Source organism: Homo sapiens, chromosome 6 (assembly GCF_000001405.40).
Source record: "Homo sapiens chromosome 6, GRCh38.p14 Primary Assembly".
In the NCBI taxonomy this organism is placed as follows: domain Eukaryota; kingdom Metazoa; phylum Chordata; class Mammalia; order Primates; family Hominidae; genus Homo; species Homo sapiens.
In genome coordinates, this window is record NC_000006.12 from 64,789,585 (window position 1) to 64,815,686 (window position 26,102).

The window sequence follows — 26,102 nt, forward strand, 5'->3', positions numbered from 1 at the left end:
ATTCTGTGTTAGACAATATGTTCACATAATACTTTCCATTTATCCAAAATTATCATTATCACATTGTATCGAATTCTCTTTCTCCTTCCCCTGTACACCACTTCCTGTGCTCTAACCTCAAGACTGTAAGCCTTTCTTTTTTTTAAAACTGCAAGCTCTTTAAAGAATCCTTGTGTCTTTTCCTGTATCTAATTTTAATTTCTGATATACTACATGGCACAGCAGATGCTCAGTAAGTATCTGATAAGCCAGCATCCAATGACTACTACAAGGAAAGCGATGGGATTCTAAAGTTGTATGATATATATATATATATATAAATGTCAAAAAGCTAGGGGAATATGAATAATCTTCGTTATAACTAGTTTGTGGTGGGAAGCAATATATCATTAGATTTGTTCTTTTTTTTACGAGGAAGATACAACAAATAAATCCTTATAAAAACAGCCAATAAATCATTTATCATCATATTGATTTTCTCACTAGATTTGTTTTTTAAGAAAACGTTTATTTGCTGGAAGAAACTAACAGGAATCTTTTTTGCTTTGCTTTTGTAAGTAAAAACAAGTGAAAGGAAAAGAATAGGCTGTATGTTTATAGTCACCAAAAAGACTGCAAAAATGTGACAGAAAGAAGAGAATAAGGTCTTTAAATATCTTTTCAAATTAAAGAGTAGACTGGATCTATGAATACCAAACATCAGCGGCATGCAATTTACCCATGTCATAAACCTGCACATACACCCCCTGAACCTAAAAGTTGAAAAACAAATGAAGTATAATAATTATTTATAGCATTTAAATGATGACCAAATCAAAGATGAATTATGAATTCAGTTAGTTCAATCATAAGACAAGAAAAAAAATGTACATCTAACAATTAGCAATCACCCGATAAGATACAGAAAAAATAATTAACTTTTTATGACTATTTTTATTTCAAATAAGTGACTGAAAAGAAATAAATTTCAGTGGGATTTTTCCAGTAACAGTTTTATGTCACTAAAACAAAGACAAATTGCAATAGAACTTTCACTGTAGATTTTAAATAAGAGTAAAATCATTCCACTTTGGTTTCATTAAGGCCAAATGTAGACAAAGGAAATAAGAACATGATCACATTTTATTCTCATCTGTTTCTTACTTCTATGTAAGGTTTAACTTACAAAAGTGTTATCATTTCAAAGATACGATTTCTGGTATGTATTTGAAAGGCAAAGTAAGAACAAGGTGGTACATTATCCAGAAGCATTATTTTTTCTTATTCTTTTTATTTATTTTGCATTTTTCTTAATAAAAGAAGAATGAAAATGCAGGAAAAAATTTCCTCTCTACATAATTTAAAAACATCTTTCAAATTATACTTTAGAGTTCATTTGCAAAATTATGAACAATGTTTTACATGCAGTTTTTCACATGCTGAAAACATCAGTTTTTACTTAATCTCCTTATGCTGTTTCTTTCTTCCTTCCTGTAGATAAAAGCCTAAAGTGGGTTTGCATGGATTACAGCTTTTCTCATTCTCCTTTCATCATAGCTCATTGTTTTGCATAATGTGCATAAAATACATATAATATATCCAATCCATTTTAGCCTCAGATCAGAGCAAGTATTGAACTTTTACAAGTTTTATAAAATTTGCAAATTTCACTCAGCAAGACGAAAAAATACATACATTCTAATGACTTTTAATTTGGTAAATAAATGTTGTTAAAATTAATGCATGCACACACACACACATACACATACATTAGGTGTTTGTTCATTAAGACCTAAAATTTGCCATTTCCACACTATATTATTCACACAGAAAGGGCATCAAGCACAATGTACCATAAAGCTGTTTAACTTCTCCTTAATTGGGAAAAGTAAACTCAAAATATCTAAAAGGCAACTTTATGACAGAATAGAAATCTGCTATAAAAGCAACATTTTCATGAGTATTTAAAATTATCTCTACATTTTAATAGCTATTTGGACAGGAATGTGTAACCAAAGAGAAAACTTAGAAAAAGGCAGCATACAACATTGAATCAGTGATGAATTAATTGTTGGCAGCAACTACAACCATTTTTGTATTGTTTTGCATTTAAAAATGTTTTAACCTGTGTACAAAGTGTAAACTAATAAATACTAATTGATTTAAATACCTGATTCAATGTTTCTTAAGCTTGAGACACATATTAAAGGAAAAATTATGCTATGTCTCACAATATTGCATTATTTCCAGAATGTCATTTAAATTAGAATATACATAAAACATGGCATTAATCGTATATATTTATAGTTTTTATAGAACCATATGACTGGAACAAGATTTTAATATACTTTTCATAGAACTACAAAACTAATGAAGTTTAAAATAATAGTATTATTATGTGGTCCATAGCATTGTTTTCTGAATGAAAAACCATCACTCACAATATAACTATGATATTCATCATCCTAGTGCAGGTTCTGTTGAGCTCATCTTGTCTGTACTGCATTTTTTTCCTTATAATGACTGACTCAATTTTCTCACACTTTTGGGTATTCAAACTACTGTGAAGCCTTTATTCATCCATTATGGTATGATGTCAGGTGGATATAACTTGGCTCCACTTTTAGATATACATATTAACCTTGCCCAAATTATTTCCTATTAACTTCTAATGATGAAAGTAACACCACTAGGCAGCAATATGATGGTAAGAAGAATGTGTCTGTAACTCATAATGTTCTGGATCAGCATTAGATCATATATTTACAATCCAAATAATCAGGAAATATTTTTTTAGACATTTATAAATATTAAAATATAAAATTTAGATTGTTACTGTGGAGAATTTTTAGACACCAAGTTTATGATCATAGGCTTGCATTTAAAAAATAGTACCAAAATTATACGTGCTGTGACAGTTAGTTGCTACCTAAAGTTAAGCAGTACCAAGCTGTGAAGAGTTAATTTTTAAGATTAACATTAATTTGGAGTTCTAATATGAGATCAATTGCCATTGAAAAATTGAGAAAATATAACAAAGATATGATTAATACCTAAAACTCCAAAGCACAGGGAAATTCAAATATTTTAGGAAGATAAATCTGTTTTCAATGCAGCAAAAGCAGCATGTACCCGTGTCCAAAAGTTGTTTATTTATTTGGCATAGTCAGCTATTATATTGTATAATGTTAGGCTAAGAAAGGGTTTCCAAAGGAGGATTCCTTTCTGTCTCCCTGTTTCGGTCTCTGACAATGTCAAAGTCATAATTGTTTTAATTTCATACGATCTTGACACGTGTGTGTGTGTGTGTGTGTTAGATGTAACATTAAGGGAAGAGCTTTAGTAATTATAACTTTAATTGTTATGGCTGATTTTTTAGAAGAATATTTCCAAATATAAAACATATATAGAAATTCATAATTATATGGAAACATAATTTTTATGCATATTTCAAAACTGATGTATGAAAGTCATTTAGCTAATTAATGAGTCAGAATCTCTTCCTACATTTGCATTGTTACTTGTCACTGTATGACTTTAGAAATAAAGCCACCTCCTAGTACTATTTATGAGAACAGATGGAATATGAAGAGTCCAAAAAGAAATGATTCTTTACTGGATATTTTCAATAACTATGTAAATGGCTTAAGCTTTGTATTTATTGGTGTAAATCAATTAATTCCAATTGTAGCTAGTGTTAGCTATATTCCACTACATGTTTTGGGTAAATTATATGCTATAAAATAGTTGAAAATCAAAAATGTAAGAATTTGATAGCTAAAGTCTCACAAAATTTTAAAAATTAAGTATGACCTGGGAGGAAGAATACTGGGCAGTCTTTAGGAATGCCCTAATGTCGAGGATCTTAAGTAATAGTAGGGAATGTAAAAACATTGAGTTCCGTTAGCAGATGAAAAAAATGCTCAAATGCATATTGGATAATTTTGCCTAAATGTGGCTTTAATACATGGTTGTAAATTTGCTATTGCAGATGTAACTAGATCACATGCTAGACCTGATCAAAATACAGTAAATGTTGTAGCTACCTTTTTTTATTTACGGTTTCAAATTCAATGGCTTGAGTTTCAGGAATAAATATTCCAGTGAATATCATTGTTCATAGTTGATGTCCAAGGACTATACTAAATTTCCTCTTCTTCATCTGTTTTATTACATAAGTTGAAATTTTAAGAAAATGTTTTACAAATGTCTTTATGAACAATTATTTTTCCATCTGTTTTTTTTTGTTTGTTTTGTGGTAAGAATATTTAACATGAGATATACTCTCTTAGCAAATTTTTAAGCATACAGCCCAGCATTTTAAAGCACACAACACAATATTTTTAACCCTAAGCACAATGTTTCAGGATCTCTAGAACTTATTTATTTTGCATAACAAAAACTTTATTCCCATTGAACAGCAGCTCCCCATTTTTTCCTTGCCCCAGGCCCTGGTTAATCAACCATTCTACTCTCTGTTTCTACAAGTTTGACTGTTTTGGATACCTAATATAAGTGAAATCATAAAATATTTGTTGTTCTGTGATGTGCTTATTTCACTTAGCATAATGTCCTCAAAAGTTCATCCATCTTGTAACATATGGCAGCTATCCCACTTCAGGCTATTTATGCAAAGGAATTGAAATTAGGATCTCAAAGAGAATTTTTTTACCTTCATGTCCATTGCAGCATTATTCATAATAGCCTAGCTGTGGAAACAATTTAAATGTCTGATATGGTTTGGCTCTATGTCCTCACTAAAATCTCATATTGAATTGTAATTCCCAACGTTGGTGAGGGGCTTGGTGGGAGGTGACTGAATCATGGGGGCAGACTTCTCTCTTGCTATCATGATAGAGTTTTCACAAGATCTGGTTGTTTGAAAGTGTGGAGCACCTCCCCCTTCTCTCACTCTCTCTTCTGCCCACCATGTGAAGATGTGCCTACTTCTCCTTTGCCTTCTGCCATGATGGTAAGTTTCCTGTGGCCTCCCCAGAAGCAGAAGCCTGACCAGAGCCAATTAAACTTCTTGTCTTTATAAATTCCCCAGTCTCTGGTATGTCTTCATAGTAGTATGAGAATGGACTAATACAGTGTTCATCAACAAATGAATTTAAAAATGTGGCATATACATACATATTCAGCTTTTAAAAAGGAGAAAATCCTGCCATATGTGGCCATTGTTTTTATTCCTTGAAATGGGACAATTCAAATAATCAATTCCCATTACTATGATTTTCTGAAAAAAATCACAGGATACATAATTGAGATAAAGTCTTCTATTATACCCCACCAACCACCCACACACAGGCACACTGCCCAATGCTAAGCATTTATTCTTTTCTGTATCTTGGACATTTATACTACAGGGATAGAAATAGACATTACCAGCCAGGTGCAGTGGCTCATGGCTGTAATCCCAGCACTTTGGCAGGCCGAGGCAGGTGGATTACCTGAGGTCAGGAGCTCGAGACTAGCCTGTCCAACATGGTGAAACCCTGCCTCTACCAAAAATTCAAAAATTAGCTGGGCATGGTGGCAGATGTTTGTAATCCTAGCTACTCATAAGGCTGAGGCAGAAGAATCGCTAGAACCAGGGAGGTGGAGGTTGCAGTGAGCTGAGATCACATCATTGCACTCCAGCATGGGTAACAAGAGCAAAACTCCGTCTCAAAAAAAAAAAAAAGAAGTAGACATTGCCTTTTATTTTGAAATTATACATGATATTTGTGTTTCCTAGAAGTAGATAAAGCAAGCAAATATCATTGAAGAAACGCAAGATGAAGTGGGTGGTTGGTTGAAAATAGAGAGGAAGTAGATATCCCGAGTATGAGAGAAGGAACACCATTCTTGGTTGGACAAATATCTATAATTGTTTTTAGTAGGATTATTTTATGTTTCTACATATCATGCCACATTTTTATGCAGTATCAAATTTTGAGGACTGCTATTGGGTACTTCATGGAATTGAATTCTGAGGACCAAAGTCTTGAACTTCTTCATGATTAATCTCTGCATCCAGGATTGGCATCAAACTTTATGGCATTTCACTCTCAAGGGACCGTGTAAACATAGGTGAAATACCTGGAATGACCAGAATATTGTTTCCTAATTGTTCTTGATTTAATACAATTTTTGACACTTTTAATGAACTTCAGTGGGCAGGTAAACTCAATGGCTGGATTTTAGTATCCCCTAATGAGCTGTGACAGAATTTTAGATTAGATTCAATTTGATTTGGAGAAAAATAAACACAGCGGTACTTTTTTCAAACATATACATGCTCAGATCTGCTATATGTGAGGACCTCATCCAGATGTGTACTGAGGGTTTATGCATTGTAGAATGATAGCAATCTACAGAAATGGAGAGAGATGCTTTTGAGACAAGAGTGTTGACCTAGTTGCAGGACTTGCGTACGTGGATGAGTCTACACTGAGAAGTAACTACTGATTTGAAGTACAGCACTAACGTATGCTGAAACTAAGTTGATTAAAAACTGCTCACGCATGAAACAAAATAAAAACGCGTACATCTGGATGTTATTGAGGCAGTACTGAAAGAAGACAATGCTTCTGAAAATCCAACCTATATCCAACTTACATAATTATTTATTCATGTTTGCCCAATCATAGAAGATTATGCTTTTTACATGGAAGCAAACTATCTCTGGAATCCTTTAGTGCCTCAAATTTATATGTAGCTACTGGGATGGGCCATTCTTTAAGAGACTTACAGGTTTACTGATGAAAGGGGTTGTAGAATAAGTAGCAAGGAGAGAAACAGCTGACCAGTTGCTTTTCTACTACTACTTCCAGGAAGAAAAGACCAGCAGTGTGTTCTAAAAACCCATTAAGGGGAGAGGATATAAGACAGTCCCACAGGAGTAGGAGACAGGAGTTAGAGATTTAGTAGGGCAATCAACCACTTAAAAATTTTTAGCGTGAATCCCAAGTTATTTGATATACAGTTGAGTTTAAGGCTCTGAAAATAATGGACACCTGCTTCTAATTCTGCCAATTTTTCTGGAGAAATAGCAGAACTACAGGGAGAAATATCAGACCGATACACACAGACGCTATATTCTGAGGTATCCAAACTTCCATATTTGGTCAAGTACTGTACGTTGAGCCAGAAAGAGCAGAACTGACTTTCCTCAAATTAATAATGTGGAGTTGAATATGAACATTTCTATTACAATGAAGAGTTGTTCTTTTGCATATCCTAGACACCGTTTAAGCCTCAGGTATTTTTGTGTGACACAAAGATGTGTGAGAGATACCAAAACATATTACTGAAGTTCAATTTTACACCATTCTTGTAATTTGGGGCTTAGGGATTATTTAGAGAAATTAAGCAATGTAGAATATTTTTCTCCGGCGGGTGGTGAAGGGAAACTCACATCAGTTATATTTTCATTGTGAGTGCTTCCCATGGTAGTCACAAACACATCCATTTCTCCAGTATACTGCGGAATTTCAAACAAGGAGAAAAATCTGATGAAGTTCAGCTCCTGCCTAGCAAATTCTAATCGGGTTAATCAATATCAGCCAGCTCTACCTTCAAAATAACAAATGTTGTGACATATGCTATGCAGAGTTTGGCAGCAAACAATTGACCAAGAAAAGAAGTAATGGGATCAGATGTGAGGAAAGAGAAAAATAAGTATGATAGCAAGAATACCCGTACTCTTTAAGAGGTAAGGCAGAAGAATTAAACATTTAAGGCACAGCAGGGATTGACAAAGAAAAAAAAAATTGACCTTCAGGGAAGGTTCCCAGTTCGGAGATGTGAGATTATTGTTAACAGACACTTTATGCCTGAACAGTTTGTTATCTAAATACATTTCCATGGACCCATACGTTTGAAATTAAATGGGTGAATTTTCAGAGAAATCCTTAGTTTTCCCAGCATTGATGTCTTCCCAAAGCATATTATATTGTGTTTTAAAATAAATGATTAAAAGGGTATATTTAACACCTCATATATTATATCTCACCTGATTGACCAATTGCCAAATAAAGCTTATCTCCATTTTTTCTGAGTTTAGGATTATACTTATAAAATAAAGGTTACTATAAAAATTTGGTTTTTTAAATTATACTTTAAGTTTTAGGGTACATGTGCACAATGTAAAAATATGTTTTTATTTCCCGTAAATACTTTTAATAAGACATTTAAAATAGGTTAAAACTACAGTGCCTGGATAAAAGTGCTTGAATCTCCTAATCCTCCATGTAAATCTTAAATAAGCAATATACCCGTGAGATCTCTAAATCCACAAATGCAAATTGTCTATTTATGTTGCCAACAAGCCAGATGACATTCAGAGCTTCCTCAATACCCATGAAACACCTGCTTGCTCCAATTATTAGATTTTCAAATGCTATTTAATATCTCATATATTACATAAATTTTATGGATAAACCTAGATATATATACATATATTAAAACCATTATTTTCTTCATTATATTCTTTATAATCGTATTAATATAAAGTAACAAATAAATATTAAGTAACAAATTCAGAAGCAGATCACTTTTTTTCTAAAGGAATCAGAGAGAAATTTTGTCACACCTACATATGCCTGCATAGTGTTTAACTTGGAATGATACAAAAGTCTTTAATTCATCAATTACACTATTAATTTTACATATTCTAAAATTACATACTCATATCTCCCTCAAGATTTTCAAGGTTCCTTATCTTCTTTTTCATAAAGATGTTAAAACATAATTAATGGCTTGGTGAATAATTTTCATCCATACAGATATAAGAAGCTTAGGAGATATCAAAAAATATGTTTAAAAATAAGCTATTTATGGATCTACAGAGTCCTTCCCATATGTTTTAAGTTACTTTAAGCTTTTAATTCTTGAAATGTGATTAGATTAATCTAAATAAAGATAAAAAGAAAGCAAGCACATGCGACGGATGCCATGTTATCCATGTAGTTCTGTGCATATTAATTCTAAAATTGACTATGTTCCTAGGCCTACAGACCTGGTTTGAAGATTCATTCTGCCTGTTTCTTTGTTTCTGGTTTTTTTTTTTTTTTTTTTTGCATCATTAGCTTAAAAAACATTGCATTAATAACTCCTGGTGAGTTGAACTCATTGTCTCCAGTCCAAGTGGAGGAGATCCTTAGTCTCCTTCCTTCCATAACTCTCTTCCCACTTGAACTGGAGATGATGATTATTGCATAAATGCTCAGGATATTTTTGCATTTGAACCCACATAATTACCCCAGCCTAAGTAAAGTAGTCATAATAGACTTTTCATTCTACTCCCACATTTAATCAATAGCAGAATATTTTATTTTTACCTTCCAAATTCTCTGGATCCTACCCTGTCTTCTCCCATTATACTGCTTTAGCTGGACTCACATTCCCCTCACCTTGATCATTGCAGTACTTGGCACTTTGTCTCTTTAACCAGATAAACCTCTCCCAAAAATTATTTTTCTAAAATACAAATTTGACCATTTAACTCCCTCACTTACAAACTTGGAAAGTTACAAACTTCAAAAGGACCCTCTCTCATTGTTTATAGAATCAGTTTCATCAGTTCAGTAAGCATTTTTTACAAGTCTCCATCCTACCCCACAAATACTATTTTGTTTTACCTCTACTACTTTTTTTTAATTTAAATGATGGTTCCTTGTAATCCATCAAATCTCATCTTTCTTTACTTCCATTTTTTTCTTATGCTTTGATACCAAATATATCAATGTGATAAGCTCATCCTTTGAGATTGAGGACAAAGCATACCTCCTGTTGAAGCCTTACACAATCTCTCAAAATATAGTAGGTTTAATCTTTATTTTTTCACTGAAACTTTATGTACTTGTAGTGTGTTGTTCTTATATACTCTATTCCATTTGTTTACAAGTTTCACTAAAATATTGTAAGCTTATTCATTTAAGACATTTATCTAATTTATTCATATGCCTTTAGCATATGTTAGGTTGAAAGCATCTAACAAATATTCATTAAGTAAATAGTTAATTTAAAAAATTGATCTATGTAGAGTGACTAGGCCATATCTGATGCAATCTATACCTGTGCTATTCTGAATATATGATATATATTATATCTATCTATAATATATATAAGTACATATATAATTAATACATTTATACCTATGTCTGTATCTCTCTATCTCAAATAAAAAATGTTACAGGAGCCAAAAGAAAACATTTATAGTTTTAAAATTTTTCACATATTTAAGTATCTGAATATCTACATAAATAAAGTAGAATTGGACAGTTTAATCTGCAGTTTCTTTAGAGTAAGCAAAGTGAATGTCTATTTCTACAGAAATGGAAAATACTAATAACATTCTCTGACTGTCTTTCTTTGTCTCTCTATAATATACATGCCCACACACAAATATACAAATACATTGATCTTTCAAGTTAAAAAACTCACAATATAATCCTTTTATCTTCCAATATATCACTATCAGGTTTATAGTTCTGCTGAACTGAAAAATTTTGGGAGAAGCTTAGAAAACTTTTATGGATAAAGAGAAATCAAAATCATGCTTTTAAAATTGGAAGGCAAGAAGAATTTTCAGCTGTATAAATTGGCCTACAAAAGGTATTGCTAAAGAAATAAAGTATGCTGCAAATGTACAGATGCCCTGACCTGTGGAGATACAGTAATTCCACTGACAATAAGCATCATGAGCAATTATTTTTATTTCCTTACTGCCCAATGTCTTTGATGAAAAAGTACTATCAACCTAGACTACAGAATGTGGCATTAAAGTTTAATTCTCTTCAATCAGGTAGGCAGAGATCAAATTCTGACACTGGCTTTTATTGTGGAAGAGTTAGAACTTTCTGAAAATCTCTTTTAAACCACTGAAGCAAACCAAAAATGTTATAAGAGCCAAAAGAAAACATATGCAGTTTTTTTTCACATATTCAAATATCTCCACACCTACATAAGGAAAGTATAACCAGAGAGTTTAATCTAATTTTTTTTTCCAAAGGAAGCTTTTTTTTTTTTTAAAGTTTAGTCTTGCTGCTTATTTAACTCTTTAGATTCCTGTCTTGTTTTTGCATTATCACAGTTGTATAAGCAGGCTTTCCTATAAATTAAAACATTAACAGCAGAAAAGTAAAATACCATATAATTCCATACACTGACATTAGCTTTTTTACGTTTTTACTTAAAAAATAAAAATAATCATATTGATAGTTTTTTTGTTTTCAATGTGAATATGACTTATGAAGTGTAGCTAAAATTTGAAAATGTAGCTGCAAGCATGGGATATATTTTTGAAAATAATGAACAAAAGGACCTGAATTTTGAACATTTTTTCACAATTGCACGTCAGATTAATCTGCTATAATAGAAGCACACATTAAGCACAATAAAGTATTTATCAGTGTTCAAAATTACTATTTTTTACGCCCCTCTCATCTGAATGAACTGTCTTTCTAAATAATGAGAAGTTTATCTCATTGTTTCTTTTAACTAATTCTACTTCAATTTTTATAACTTTATAGTTCTGGGAAATACATCCTTACTTTCAAAAGGGCATCACTTCCAGAAAACATCTGAATGTTTAAAAAAAAATCATCATTTTAGGGCCAGTCATAAGTTTAAAAGACTGAAAAGTAGCACATGTAAATTTGTAAAAGTCAAATGTAATTTTTTTATATAGGACAAGCATTAAGCACTAAAATTGATTTAACGAAGATACACTTTTGAAGAAAACATAAGTGTTTATATTTTTCTCACCACTGATAACTCAAATACAGATTAAAAACCATATCATTCTAAGAATTGCTAAACTATATACACAGAAAAACTGTATTTTTATCAATTCATTCAAATAATATACTATACAGATTATAAAAGGTGTGGAATGTTTCACATCCAAAGTTACTTACATATAATTTAACATTTTTTTTGTATCCACTTTTTAAAAGAAGAAAAAGCTGCTGAAATTGTTATATACTCTGGGTTGATGATAACTGACTCTGTAAATTTCTACCTTTGTTGATGAATTGAACATTCTATAGCTATTTAGCCATTATGTGTTTTTGAATCCTTTTTAATGTATTTTATTAAAATTCTTTTATTTAAAATGAAAAGGCTAATAGATGTGTCAGAATTATATCAAAGAAAGAAAAAAGTACAAAGAAAAGACAAAATCATACCATAATTTTATTCTAATTATTTCATAATCACCTATGACATAAATTGGCAAGCCAGGCTTCATGAGGAGAAAGAAGGAAGTGGACATGGTAGAAAGAAATGTACCATACCCGTCTTAACTAGTCGCTGAGGAGAGATTCTCCAAACAAGTTTATCTTTGCCAATCTATCTTTGCCTATCTCATGAAGTCCCCTGCCACACTCTGATTAGGTTGGCTGTAGACCATGCTATTTAATAAATGGGGATACTAATTTGTTATAAGAGAGTTATAACAAATTTCTTTTTCTTTTTTTTTCTTTTTTTTTTTTTTTTTTGAGACGGAGTCTCACTCTGTCGCCCAGCCTGGAGTGCAGTAGCGCGATCTTGGCTCACTGCAAGCTCCTCCTCCCAGGTTCACGCCATTCTCCTGCCTCAGCCTCCTGAGTAGCTGGGACTACAGGCGCCCACCACCATGCCCGGCTAATATTTTTTATTTTTAGTAGAGATGAGATTTCACCTCTGTGGCTAACACCTCTGTGTTAGCCAGGATGGTCTCTAACTCCTGACCTCATGATCCATCCGCCTCGGCTTCCCTAAAGTGCTGGGATTACAGGAGTGAGCCACCACGTCCGGCCGAGTTATAACAAATTTCTGAGTTTCATAAACAGTAACTAAACAAGGTTTTTGAGCGTGTAATTCTTTATGTTCCAGTACCTTTGCTCTTTCTTGTTAACCTTCTCTTATCAAATGAAGCAGACCTATAAATAAATACTGTAAGATGGCTAACAAACTGCCACCAAAATAAAAACAAAATAAACTTAATTTTATATTATCCTAATTTATAAAATTCTTTTAAATTGATACTTCTTCATTCATACTTCATATTTTCACACTACTAATTTACCTAAAGTGTTAGTGCAAAATTAAAATATGCAGATAAGTTATTTTTAACATCATCCCTTCTCTGTTATTCTCCATTAATTAATAACAAACTATCTCAAGATGAAGTTTACCAGTGAGTTCCCTGGTTAAAATCAGTTATTTGCCAATTTGCTTCATGTAAAAAGATTTTATGTATCATCTATCTATGTGTCTAATCATCTATCATTTATCATCTATCTCTTTGTGAACATCTGCTGAGACTAGACTGATTTGCCACAATTATTTGGCTAAACTGATGGCAGCCACAAGCCCTCTGGAGTGGCTACTGTGAAGACACCAGCTGCTGTGGTGAGGCGGGCAGCTCCAGGTGCTGGCACAGGTGCTGGCTCCATGCAAGGTTACAACTGGACCAGAGGTACTGCACGTAGCTCCCACTGCAGGCACCCACATCTGGACGAGGGGAATGCAGTGGTTCCCAGAAGCTTGGAGATGCCATGTGGTCCTCAGAAGCTTGGAGAGGAGCTTCATTGATCAGCAGAACAGCTCTTAGGAGGCCCGAAGTGGGTAGTTGCTTTCTGTAGGCAGGTTATCCCAGGAGACCCAGAGTGGGTAGCTCCTTTCCAGCTCTCTGCAGAGAGCAAATCTGGAGTGGGTACCTCCTTTTCATAGGCAGGTTGACCCTACAAGTCAAGGAGACTCAAATTGGGTAGCTCCTTTCCACAGCTGGTCATCCAGATGTCTCTCTGAGTCTGGCTGAGTAGGGGGACTGAAGGTGTGTGTGTGGGGGGGTTGGTTTATGGGCTTTAGAAGGGAGGAAGTCTGTGCTGATTGGCCATGGTTGGGTCTGGAAAAAGCACCATGAGTTCTAAATCCCAAAGTAGACTCCACCTGGAACTGACAGCCTGGCCCCATGCTTCACGCCTTCCCTGGCTTGAAGGTGGGGCATCAATGGGGACTCACCCCTTTCTGCCCAGGAGCCTGTCTGCCTCCCACCATCATCAATCATGTTGTCCAAGGCGCTCAGGCTGTTCTTGTGGAGGGGCGTCTGCAGGTCCATAGGGAGCTACCCTCAGCATCCCCTTGGCCTCCCTCTTGTGTTTGTCAGTGCCCAAAATCTGGAGGGGGCCAGGGCGGCAGAGGGCTGGCATGTCAGCATCACCCAAAGCATGGGCACACCTGGCCGGTCCTGACAGTGCCTGGGCTTGGCCTCAACCTTGCTCCAAAATTGGAGCAGGTGCCAGGAGTGGGGAAGAGTCCAGGCAGCAAGAGCAGGCACTTCCAAGACTGTGGGGCCATGGGGTAGGCTCTCCAGGGCCCCCAGAGCACAGGGATGCCTGGGTTCACAGCCATGGCTGGGTGGCTGCAGCTGCGCCCGGGAGGGTAGGGCTCTCACCCAACCGACTTGGAAGGGGGCGTGGTTCCTGCCTGCTCCTTGGAGTGTAACCCTGGCTGTGCCTCACCTACTGCAGCCAGTGTCTTTGCAGTGGCTGGTCCAGATGGGCCACACCTACAATCAAAATTATCTGGAGGTATGTAATTTATTACAATAAAATTGTTATTTATTAAAGGCATCAAATTTTGCTTTGAGACAGCCATTTGATATTTATCAGTTAAAATAGTTTGAACTCTTTCTCTAGAAAATTCAGTATACTTGGTATAACTTGTTTAGTATTATTAAAGATTAACTTTGATAGGAATTAACAGTAAAGATAGTAGAACTGGACATCAATATTTACTTCTTTTCACACTCTAGTAAATTAAAAGAAGTGTGACATATAACAATTCACTTTTATTCTTACCAAAATTTAAATGGTGAACCATTTTTTACTATTTATCTTGCCACAGAAAACCACCAAACTCATTAACCATCTGGTAATTATGCCAAACAAACTATCATAAATCCATAATTATTAGTGCCACAACTCTCTTTAATATGGTTAAATTGTCTACTTTTTTTTCCTTCATTTTTCCTTTTGGTTTCAAGAAATACAGAATTGTAATTAATTAGTCATGTTTGATCCTATGGATCGTATATGCGCCTCTTTGGCTTTTGGAATCTGATGACATACTAAAGCAACCTATGTTTGATAAAGGTGTTTTAAACCGTAGAAAATTATTTCTGCTTCATCAAAGGAAAGGAATTTGAATATATCTGTGTATTTATATTTTCTGTGAAATAGTCACAAATATATTTTAATATACATAAAAAATTCACATATTTGTGATTGGAGACTAAAACTAATTTGTAATTTTTGAATGGACACAATCATCCTATTAAAATGTATCACATACATATTTTCTTCTGCTAAAATCTATTTATAAGAACTTCTGAAGGAAATACAGGTACAGCTATGATTTCTCAATTTTCAAATTCCAACTGCAATTTTTTTTGTACATAGTAGTTTTCCAAAAAATATTTGCTGAATTAAGTTATATAATAATTAGATGAACCATGAAATTAACTTTTTAAAATTTTAATCTTATTTTGAAATCAATTAGTTGCCTAAAAAATACAGCAATTGCCAATTTTCAGTGTAAGTATTATGTGTAAATCAGATACTCTTTAATGTAAATTCACTTGGTGAATTAAACGAGTAGTCTCATTTTATTTTCTACATATGGCAATAAAGTAACCTTAATTGTATCCCCAAATGGAATAAACAGATGTATTTTTAAAATTGAACTTGATGCTGTTGAGCAAACACTATTTGTGTTTGATAGAATGAAATCTATTATATTGAATGCATAGGCTTTTTCTGTTACTCGTTTAAATTTTTGATTGAACATGTGATCACTAACTGTGGTTTACCATCACATTTAGTATAGCTGACATTGATTTTATCTAGAAAATAATCTAGATTTACCTTTCAAAAATAATTTGATCATAAATTATTGCTAGGTATTTTGAAAGGCAAACTATAATAAATTCTCACTACTCAAAATATATTTTTATTTATTTATCTATGGAATGACACAGAAAAGTAGAAATCATAACAGGACTAAACAGAAAAAGGTGTGTAAGGTATTACATTCAAAATCAGTTCCAAAAGTTATGCAAAAGCTGGAACTATGAAAATTTTAATGAATTCTAATTTATTATTTAATAATATTTATTTAGTAAAATTATATTTTAGATTGATTCAATTTGTTAATAATATTTGAAATATCTGTAAGTATTTCAAAAATTCTGATTTGGAGAACTAAAGTACAAAAATACATAATTTTTAAAAATCCCAAGGAAATTTGAAATTCTAGTAATTTTATTTAAAACATGAACAAAGAAAAATATTTAGTAAGCAATTATAAGGGTTGTGATAGTTCAGGAGGTCATCAGAAAAAGATTTCATTATTATGAGATGAAATTGTAAAAAAAATCTTACATGTGAATATAGGAAAAGGCCTACTAATTTGATGGATAAAATATAATTTTAAAATTATGACATAATTACTAATAAGAATACATTAAAAAATCAAAATAGGTTGATGTTTTAAATTTGAATCTCTCCATGTTGTGAAGTAATAGTCATAAATTTAGAGTATTACATGTTCCATCTTTTATTTTTGAAAATATAATCTCTATTTAATAAAATGTCACCTAAACTACAGCTGTTAAAATACCAACATCATTTTCCAAGCTGTAAAACTAATTAACTTAAAGCTAAGTTGATTAATGATAGTTGAAAATGGTTATTGTACAATCAATATCACTACCCTGTAACCATCATAAGTTACCTAACTTCTCTTAGTCTTTATTTTGGAGTTTTTTATCTAAGCATATAAGAAAATAGCTTCTGTCCTTCCTCAATATGATACCAGTATGGATTACTTATCTCAAATATTTTTTTTAACAATATTATAGGATATCGTGGTCCCTAAGAATATATAATTTAAAATAATTCACTTTTACTGATTTTCCTGCAATCTTTTTAAAAAGAAACTTGAAAATGTCAGGAATCAAACATTAAAGCTTACTAATCTTTTAACAAATAATTAGTGTGAATTAATTATGCTCAGTTCAAGGTAGAAAGAGTAATAAAGTTTAAGTAAATAGTAAGGGCAAGAATATGAAACACTTCAAAAATATGGAGATAACGACCAAGGAGAATCAAGTCTGGGAAAAAAAAATCATATAAGATTAAAGGGAAATTTGGAGCTGGAGGGTGGGAAAGTTGTGGGGATGGATGAGGACTCGGTAAGGCAAAGGCAGAGAGCACTATGGAAAAAAAAAATGCCTGGAACAGGGTTTCACATATTAAAAACAAACCATCTTTGTGTCTCAGTGCTTTGTTTTATAAATCATTTCCTAAATTCTGTGTAATCTACAGATTAAAAAAGTTATGTATAATGTCTTTGCTTATTTCTGTAGTCCTCTGCTGTGTGAGTCTAATTTGAATTTTAGTGTAATTTCAACATAGCTTTTACAGGTTAATAAAACTTACATGCATTAAAATGCTATTAAAGTGTTACACATGGTTAATAATACTTATGGATTTCTGAAAGCAGTCATTATTACACTGAACAAAGTCATTAATGTCTTTAAACTTTGCATCAGGAAATAAAATACAAAATAGATGTCTAACTGCAAGAATAGTCATGATATCTGACTATAAATATTTCTTCTCTTTTTACCATATATTTTTTTCTTTTGTATTTGATATTTCAAATAAAATATACTGTAATAAAAATAAATGAGCAATGCATTGGATTCTGGTATTGACCTTCCCACTGATTGTGACTTCAGCTTTGATGACTGACAGAGTACAAACCTCCTTAGGCCTTTGCCTTGTCACCTATATAATAACTAGGACACTAAAGGTAATCTCTGTAATTTCCCTCAGCCCTAAAACTCAATTGAGTTTACAGCTAGAAATGAAATCATCAGGTATTATATTTTCTGAACAAAAATATTTTCAATTATTTTAAATAACATATATAGTTTGGGAATGGCAAAGACTTTGAAAATCTTATCTATTATTTGTCATGTAACTTTTCTCTACTTCAGATGTGCATATTATTAAATTGGCATTTCTTCATTACGTAATATAAAGTCAATCACTTAAATGTTTGGATTGCCTAAAACATACATTACTAAAAATAAGTTTAGGTGTTTAAAATGTCCATTCACTTCTCTATAAATCACCTGAAGTATGGTTATAGAATGATATGTTACTACACACCTAACATCTAAGTAACTGTTTATCTAAAAGAAATACTAACTTATTTTGCTTGAAATAGTTAACTTTTATTTTATTTCAGTATGCAAAACATACTGCCTATGTATTTGTCCACAGTAATAAGGAGACTATATGTCAGTGGTTCATTCATTTTACTATCCAGAGTCACATTCCAAACAGGCTTAAGTCCTTCCTTCCCTTCCTTCTCCCTCCGTCCTTCCCTTACTTCCTTCCTCCCTCCCTCCTTCCTTCCTCCCTCCTTCCTTCCTCCTTTCCCTTCTTCCCTTCTTCCCTTTCTTTCCCTTCCCTTCCTCCCTTCCCTTCTTCCCTTCCCTTCTTCCCTTTCCTTCCCTTCCCTTCCCTTCCTGTTTAAATAATCTACCTATGATCACGATATAGCACACTAAGGATTTACAGTATAAAACATGCTTTGGAAGAATTATATTTTCAACTGGCACACTGGAGCAAGGGGACACTGATGTAGACAATGTCATATGGTAGCAACATCAGAGTTTATCACATTAAATTAGCATTTTATGGTAACAATTCAATTAGGCTTATAGTTTTCATTGAACTTTAAAACATTTTTATAGTTATATAACAGCAATAAACATAATGGGTTTATAACTAGCTTTATATTTGTATATATCAAATATATAATTTAACTGAGACAACATGAGATTTATTTTGCTTTGAAAGGAGTCCATATATAAATCAACTTATAAATTTACAAATCTGTTGCATAGAAAATAAATTCCTAACAGGTTCAGTGTCTCTAAATGTGCCTGAGAACGTTAGACAAGACCACTGAACTCAAAGTGTAAAAAATTATATCTAATCTGGGTTTCTTGGTAATTTTTTTTTTCTTTCTTCATCAAAATACAACTCTTCTGTGTTGATATCTGTGCTAACTACCACAGCAAATTTATCCTTGCCAGAAAACAAAGAATCTACCTATCTTTCAAAATTTAGTTACTGCATCAGCAAGATTTTTTTAAATGAATACTAGCTATCTTAATTATGTACCATTGTCTTAGTTCTAAAATAATTTAAAATAATAAAATGTTTTCATGAGAAAAATCAGCAATGAACAAAGTATAAATCTGATATGACTCTGACCTGGAGAGGTCCAATACTCAAAATTTAATAGTAGAGGAAGATATTTAAATAGACTCATACTTGTGTAGTAATTTGACCCTTAGACCCTGGCAACCACAACACATGTAGTAAAAATAGGCTTTCATGGATGTTCCTGTGCATTAATGCTTGCCTCTGCCCAGACATTTAATGGTGCAGCCTTATTTAAAATAGTCTTAAAGACACAGAAATAATTCAATAAACAAGAGTCTGGCAAATAGAGTTAGGATATGAAAGTGGTCTTCGGCTATATCTGGGTAACAACCACGAAGATCAATAAAGCCGGGATATAAAATGCTAGAAACTGACACACTGAGTCAACTTAATTCTGTAACAATAAAAAGATGAGTTCAGCTATATGAACTTTGAAAAAAATCAAACTCTTGGAATAAACTAACTACTCTGTAAACAGAATATAATAATATGGCTTTTTAAGTGGGCGTTACATTTACGATGAAAGAAAATAATGAAAAACTAAGGCACATTGAAAAGTAAAAGAGATTAAAATACACAAATTTCAGAAAAACTAGATAAAAGTTTGAGAAGTAAATAAAAATGTGAGAAGGAACAAAAATATAAAAACTGAAAAAAGTGAAATACATGAAGGACAGAGTTTTAAGTAGTGTTACTCACAATAGCAAGGATATAGAATCAACCTACATGCCCATCAACAGCAGATCGATAAAAGAAAATGTGGTACATATACACCACACCATAGAGTACTATGCAGCCACAAAAAATAATGAAATTATGCCCTTTGCAGAAACATGAGTGGAGCTGGAAGCCATGATCCTAAATGACCAAACACAAGAACAGAAAACCAAACACCATACGTTCTCCATATAAGTGGGAGCTAAACATTGAATACACATGATCATAAAGGTGGGAACAACAGACAATGGGGATCACTAGATGCAGAATGGAGAAAAGGAGCTGAAGAACCTCTTATTGGGTGCTGTACTTACAGCCTGGGTGATGGGATTTTTGGGATCCCAAGCCTCAGCATCAAGTAATTTACCCCTATAACATACCTGTGTATGTGTCCTTTAATCTATAATAAATGTTGAAAATGTTGAAATTTTTAAAAAAGGAAGCAAAAAAATTCATCAAAGAAAATTTTTTAAGAAGTGTGATATACAATATGTAAGCAATATTGCTACCCAAGGTAGACTGCAGAATGAGTGAATCAGTATCAATCATCTGCATAAGACAAATAGAATAATTTTAAAAATTCCCCTGACTTGAAGAAATAAATAACAGAAACGTATGACACCACATATTTTGAATAAACACTTAAAACTCCAGAAATAAAAACAGAAGGGAATTAAATTATAAGTTCTCTATATGTCAGTCATTGGAATAAATCTTTTCTACATGGTTTTTAATTAAATAAAAGTCATTTTAACTTCTGTGAAAGAAATGAATCAACTGAATTTATAACATATAGCATTCATGAAAAAAGACCATTCCTTGGTTTAATTTTGGCAATGACGGAGATGAAAGCAAACTTGACAGCACTTACTATATCATCCTCAGTCAAAGATAAGATCTAAGAAATTTACACTTCACCAAGTTAAAATTAATATGTGAATCTTACAACACAACAAAATATTTTAGGTTGGCAATTAAAAAAATTACAGGCAATTTTAAAGGGTAGCACAGTCTTTACCTTTTTTGTTTATTTGTGTAATGTCATTCAGCATTAAATTTCAATTGGAAAAAATAATTCTAAAATAATTATAAGAGCAAGCCTATGGAATATTCTGCAGGTCATTAAAGGCTGAAATATTTAATAAAATAGTTTTCCTTGCAAGTAAGACCTCAGGATAAATACCCTTAAGGTGCAAAGTTATAAAGTTGAGTAATTTTCCCAATTAAAGTCAAACAGACCTTAGCAAAATCATTAACAAACCAGCAACAAGAATGAAGACATTAACTTTTACTATGATTGGCATAAACTTTGAAGCAAAAATAGTATAAAGATAATAACAACAAAATATTTTACCAGGTTTTTAAGAGTGACATGATTCTTTTTGATTAAATTTAGAGAACACAAAATAGAACTCAGAACAATAAGTTCAATTTTCTTCTTTAAATATCAAATAATAATTTTATTATGATTTTACATAAACATACTATGGATTAACCCTTAACCCATGAACAAATCTCATAATTTGACTTGAAAAGCACTACCTTCTATCCTAGAATATGAGTTTTCTTTGGTAAGTAAACTATCTAAGGACTGTGTTGATTTGGCACCAGCTCTGACTTCTCATAGTGTAGCGTGGAGTCCCAGTAGAAACTGCACCTCCCAAGGCATTACCATTGACAGATCTTCAGGGGCTTTTAAACACATTGAATCAGCAATGATAATTTTGGAGATAGATGACTCCTATTTAAATACAGTTTGAATAACTTTATAGCAGTAATGAATGCCTATGCTTATCCCTGGGAAATATGCCAGGAAAAGAAGCAGGCATCTTCAGCCTGAATTCTACTGGCTTCATGCTGTAAAAAAAAAAAAAATCAGCCAAGCTAGCCTGTGGATAACTTTTCCCTAAAAGGAATATTTATACAGGAGCTTGCTATGGTTTAGGTGTCCATACCAAAACTCATGTTGGAACCTTAGTGCAGCAATGTTGGGAGGTGGTGCCTGTACACAGTGAATAGACCTTTAAAATAGATTAAAGTCTTTCTCATGAGACGGGATTTGTTCTCTCGAGAAAAGATTAGTTCTGGGTACAGTGGTTGTCAGAAAGCAAGCTTGCCTCTCCTGTCTGGTCCTTCTTGCATTCCAGCTTCCACATTCACATCTCTGCCATCCTATGGTGCAGCATGAAACCCTCATCAGAAGCCAAACAGATGCCTATGCCATGCTCTTGGGCTTTTCAGCCACTTGAAGCATAAGCCAAATAAACCTCTTTTCTAGTCTCTGTTATTCTGTTATAGCAACACTAAATGGACTAAGAGCTCTTACAGTGCTTGATTTAACAAATACTAACAGATTGTAAAAATACACATTTTAGGTTTATGTTTACTTATTTTGATAATCAATTTTTTTATTGAACAAAATGTATTTCCATGAATTGAATCCTGATTTTTAACACTGTATCCATCAGAAATATACGTTCAATTTATGATTAATGACTTAGTCCAGGCAATTATTAGGTTATAACCCTGAGAATCCTTGTAGCAGTCATTTTAATAATTTTGTTTTATATAATTTCCATTTGTATAAAAAACATGTTTACTATATTTTATCAATCTACAAAAGTACGATAAACAGAAAGTATGTTCAAAACACAAGATACGAGAAAGAAGGATTTAAAATACACACACACACACACACACACACACACAGGTACACACACATGTCTGATGCATGTGTATATCAAACAAAAATGGCATGTTAGGCAATGTGTAATAACTAATATCTATGTCGTAATAATAAATAAACATTGTTTGCCTATGCTAAATGTAAGTTAATATTCTTGAACTTATATGAAATTAGCTTTTATGTATGTCTTACTAGAGATACACACCAAATAAAAAATACAGTAGATACCAAAATATATAAGTAGGCAAAACATGCCCTAGATATTGAACACAGAAAATACGGAAGTGACAGTATTGTATAGAAGGCAGAATATATTAGTGTCTTAAAAAGAAATAATAAAATATAGAAATGATAAGTATACTTTACTAGTAAATAACTATATATCAAGATATACATGATAAACCTGTCAGTAATTTAAGATATATGACAGAAATACAGCTCACAAATTTTAACTTAACATCATCCTAGCACAAATGAGACTGAAAGGAGGTCAAGTATGTGTGTATATTTTTTAATACCTGGGTTCGGTTATTATTTTAAAGTTGAACAGATAGTGACTAAATTCTCAAATGACCAATCCATTGGATATATTATATAATCAGAAATAACAAAGGAAAAAAATTCATCTCCTAAAATGTTTAAAACTATACCTTTAAAAAGTGGTTCAAAAATATAGTGATTGATAGAATAATTTGCTTTTATAACTCAAATAAAATTTTTATAACCTATTAAGATCTCAGGAGATAGGCATAGTAGTAACAGAAATGAATCTCTGGCTAGGAATTATTCTATAAATGTGAAATATTAGCAAATCATTCATTTGGTATAAAATATTTGAGAAAAAGAATAAAAACCCACTTTGAGAAAGGAGAAGAGATAAAAAAACAATGATAAAATGAGGGATGATTTAACTGGGAAAGCAAAACATGGGAGTGATATGAATATATGATATTTGGAAAATATAAACAATGACATTTTGTAATTGTTATTTTCTAAGTTGTGCTTATATATATATAAGGTAAAATCTTACTTCAAAACTTAGTATTTACATTGCAGAGTGCATTACTAGTGGGATGTTTATAAGCTCTCCTAAATATATATTTACTTACTTGTGGGTAAATAAATACTGACCTGCAGTCAAAAGTATGTCCAGGCCCATCAACACAGATCCCTCCATTAAGACAGATGACTGAATTAAGTTCAGGCTCAGCACAATTATCAATGCTTTTTTCACAGTATGCACCAGTGTATCCACGTGGGCAAATGCAAGTAAATCCATGTGCTGACTTCTGACAGAAGCCTTCATTCATACAAGGGATTGATGTGCAGTCCTAGATTAAGAAATAGAGAATCAAATTTGATTATTAGTATAAGGTTGACCATTTTAATATAATTATATTTTTATTTAAACATAATCTAAAAAACTGATGTGCAAACTTGTTTGACATTTCCTTCCTCTGTTAATTGAAATATATGTTTATGACAGTAAGCGGTTTTTTACCTTTTATTACCAGAAAGACTGTCAAATATTTTATTGCTGATTTACCAAGAAATAAAATCATTATTAATCTTTATAAAAAGATGTATCATGTCAGAGAACTGCCCCTGCCCCCAATAATGGTGCTAAAGCAAATTTCCTCTGCAGATAACAGAATTCACTGGCCCTTAGTGTCTACCATACCTCTCAGTTTTCCCAAAACAGCCCCAGTTCAACTCTGCTCTCCTACGGTAATGATTAATAGTACTTCCATTAAATTTCAAAGGATTTCTGGGTTTGATCACATACTTAGAACAAACATTTCACAATGCATTTATATCCATGTAAAATAGCTAAAACATCTGTAATAGCTGAAGTTTGAATCCAATCATAATCTTTTAATTACCTACTTTTCCCCATGCATTTGTCCAAATGTATGTCCAGCATTTCTGACACCTGTAGCTGCAGAAGTGCAAATGTCTTGTAGAGTTAGAGGAATCTGGATAATACCTGTTACTTTTTAAGCTTAAAAATATTTTAAAATTTCTCATAGTTTTACTTACTTATTCAACAAATGGTATTTTATTTATTGTAACTACATGGATGCACAAAATGGTGATAATATCACCCACCTCATATGGTGTGCTATGAGAGTTAAATAAAATAATGGCACTGTGTCTTAAACGTCATATGTGATCAGTAAATATTATCTTTCTTTCTTCTCCACTCTGAAGGCCAAGGGCTCAGTCAGCCTCTATTTCAATCTTTTGGCACTTAATTTGAACAAGAAATATGTTTCTCTGTATATTTAGCTTCTACCATATCATACCATATGCTTTTAAGTTTACAGTTTAGGGTTTATATATATACTTACAGTGTGGAAAACACATGTCATAGTACCACAAACATGGTATGACATTATTTTTCATAATGTAAACTGAAAAGATTTGCACCCATAATTCTGAGAACTAATTTATGGAAAGTTATGACATCATTAGTAAAACTGTTTATTTTCAAGAGTTTTACCTAAAGATAATATCTTAATGAACCTAAACCAACTTGAATCATTTTGCACTCTAGGTCTTGAGTTCTTACATTCTCAAGGATAATTCCATATGCAAACATAAAATACTTCTTCAGCGTTTTACCTTGAAAAGTGACAATTTTCTAGAATTATTGTTCATTAATTGACACCTATGCTTACAAATATTTAGTGACTTTTTAAAAAAGTATTAACGACAAAAACTCATACCGACAAGACTATTATGGAAGCCATTGCATTAATATCATGTATCCACTGGAAAATTAGATGATGTTAAAAATCATCAGAGAGATTAATTAGCGTCATCCACAATTAGAAATGAATTGTGCACTTCAGTATAATATTCCAGTCATGCCTGGAACTTAGATAGTGATCTTGTACACCCCCACCCCCTACAAGTGATAGAACTAAGTATGTTTTTATAAACAAATCCTTTGATATTTGTTCCACTTTTGCTGAAAACGTGAACTTGTTAAGAAAAACCAAGAGCACATAGTAGACTATCCTGTAGGTATTGCAGTTTTATTTATGGAATAGAAATGCAGAATTCCACAGGGAGTGGCATGGAAACATGTTTCTCCCCTAACTCTGTTTCTAGATATGTATAGAATGATTTATTAGAAAACATTACATAAACTAATTGAATTGTATCTCCCATGGGAAAATAGGGATAGTTTTTAGACTGCCAAAAGTTCTGTCTCCAGGGTTTCAAGAATCTTTTACTAAATTAATTAGAAAGCTTAATGGGAAATACAAAGGCAATTTCTTTTTAGAGGAAATCAAATTGTCATTTAAAGTTCTTGATCTTTCCTGGTTTAAAAATTTAAAAGGATGCCTTTCGTTTTGTTCATCATTTATATTGCTTTGCTATATTCTATTTAATATAATAAAGTGCTTTCCCAAAGAGTTCACTAAAGTAAT

The 26,102-nt window shown here is 32.5% G+C and overlaps 1 protein-coding gene across 2 annotated transcripts in view; it reads right to left on the bottom strand.

The window, feature by feature from the left end:
• EYS (eyes shut homolog) overlaps positions 1-26,102 on the bottom strand; it is a 1,987,247-nt gene that overhangs the window by 1,069,605 nt on the left and 891,540 nt on the right. For both annotated transcript variants that reach the window (NM_001142800.2, NM_001292009.2), the window contains exon 22: positions 23,794-23,993. In NM_001142800.2, coding sequence (NP_001136272.1) covers positions 23,794-23,993 — 200 coding nt within the window. The remainder of the gene's footprint in view (positions 1-23,793; positions 23,994-26,102) is intronic.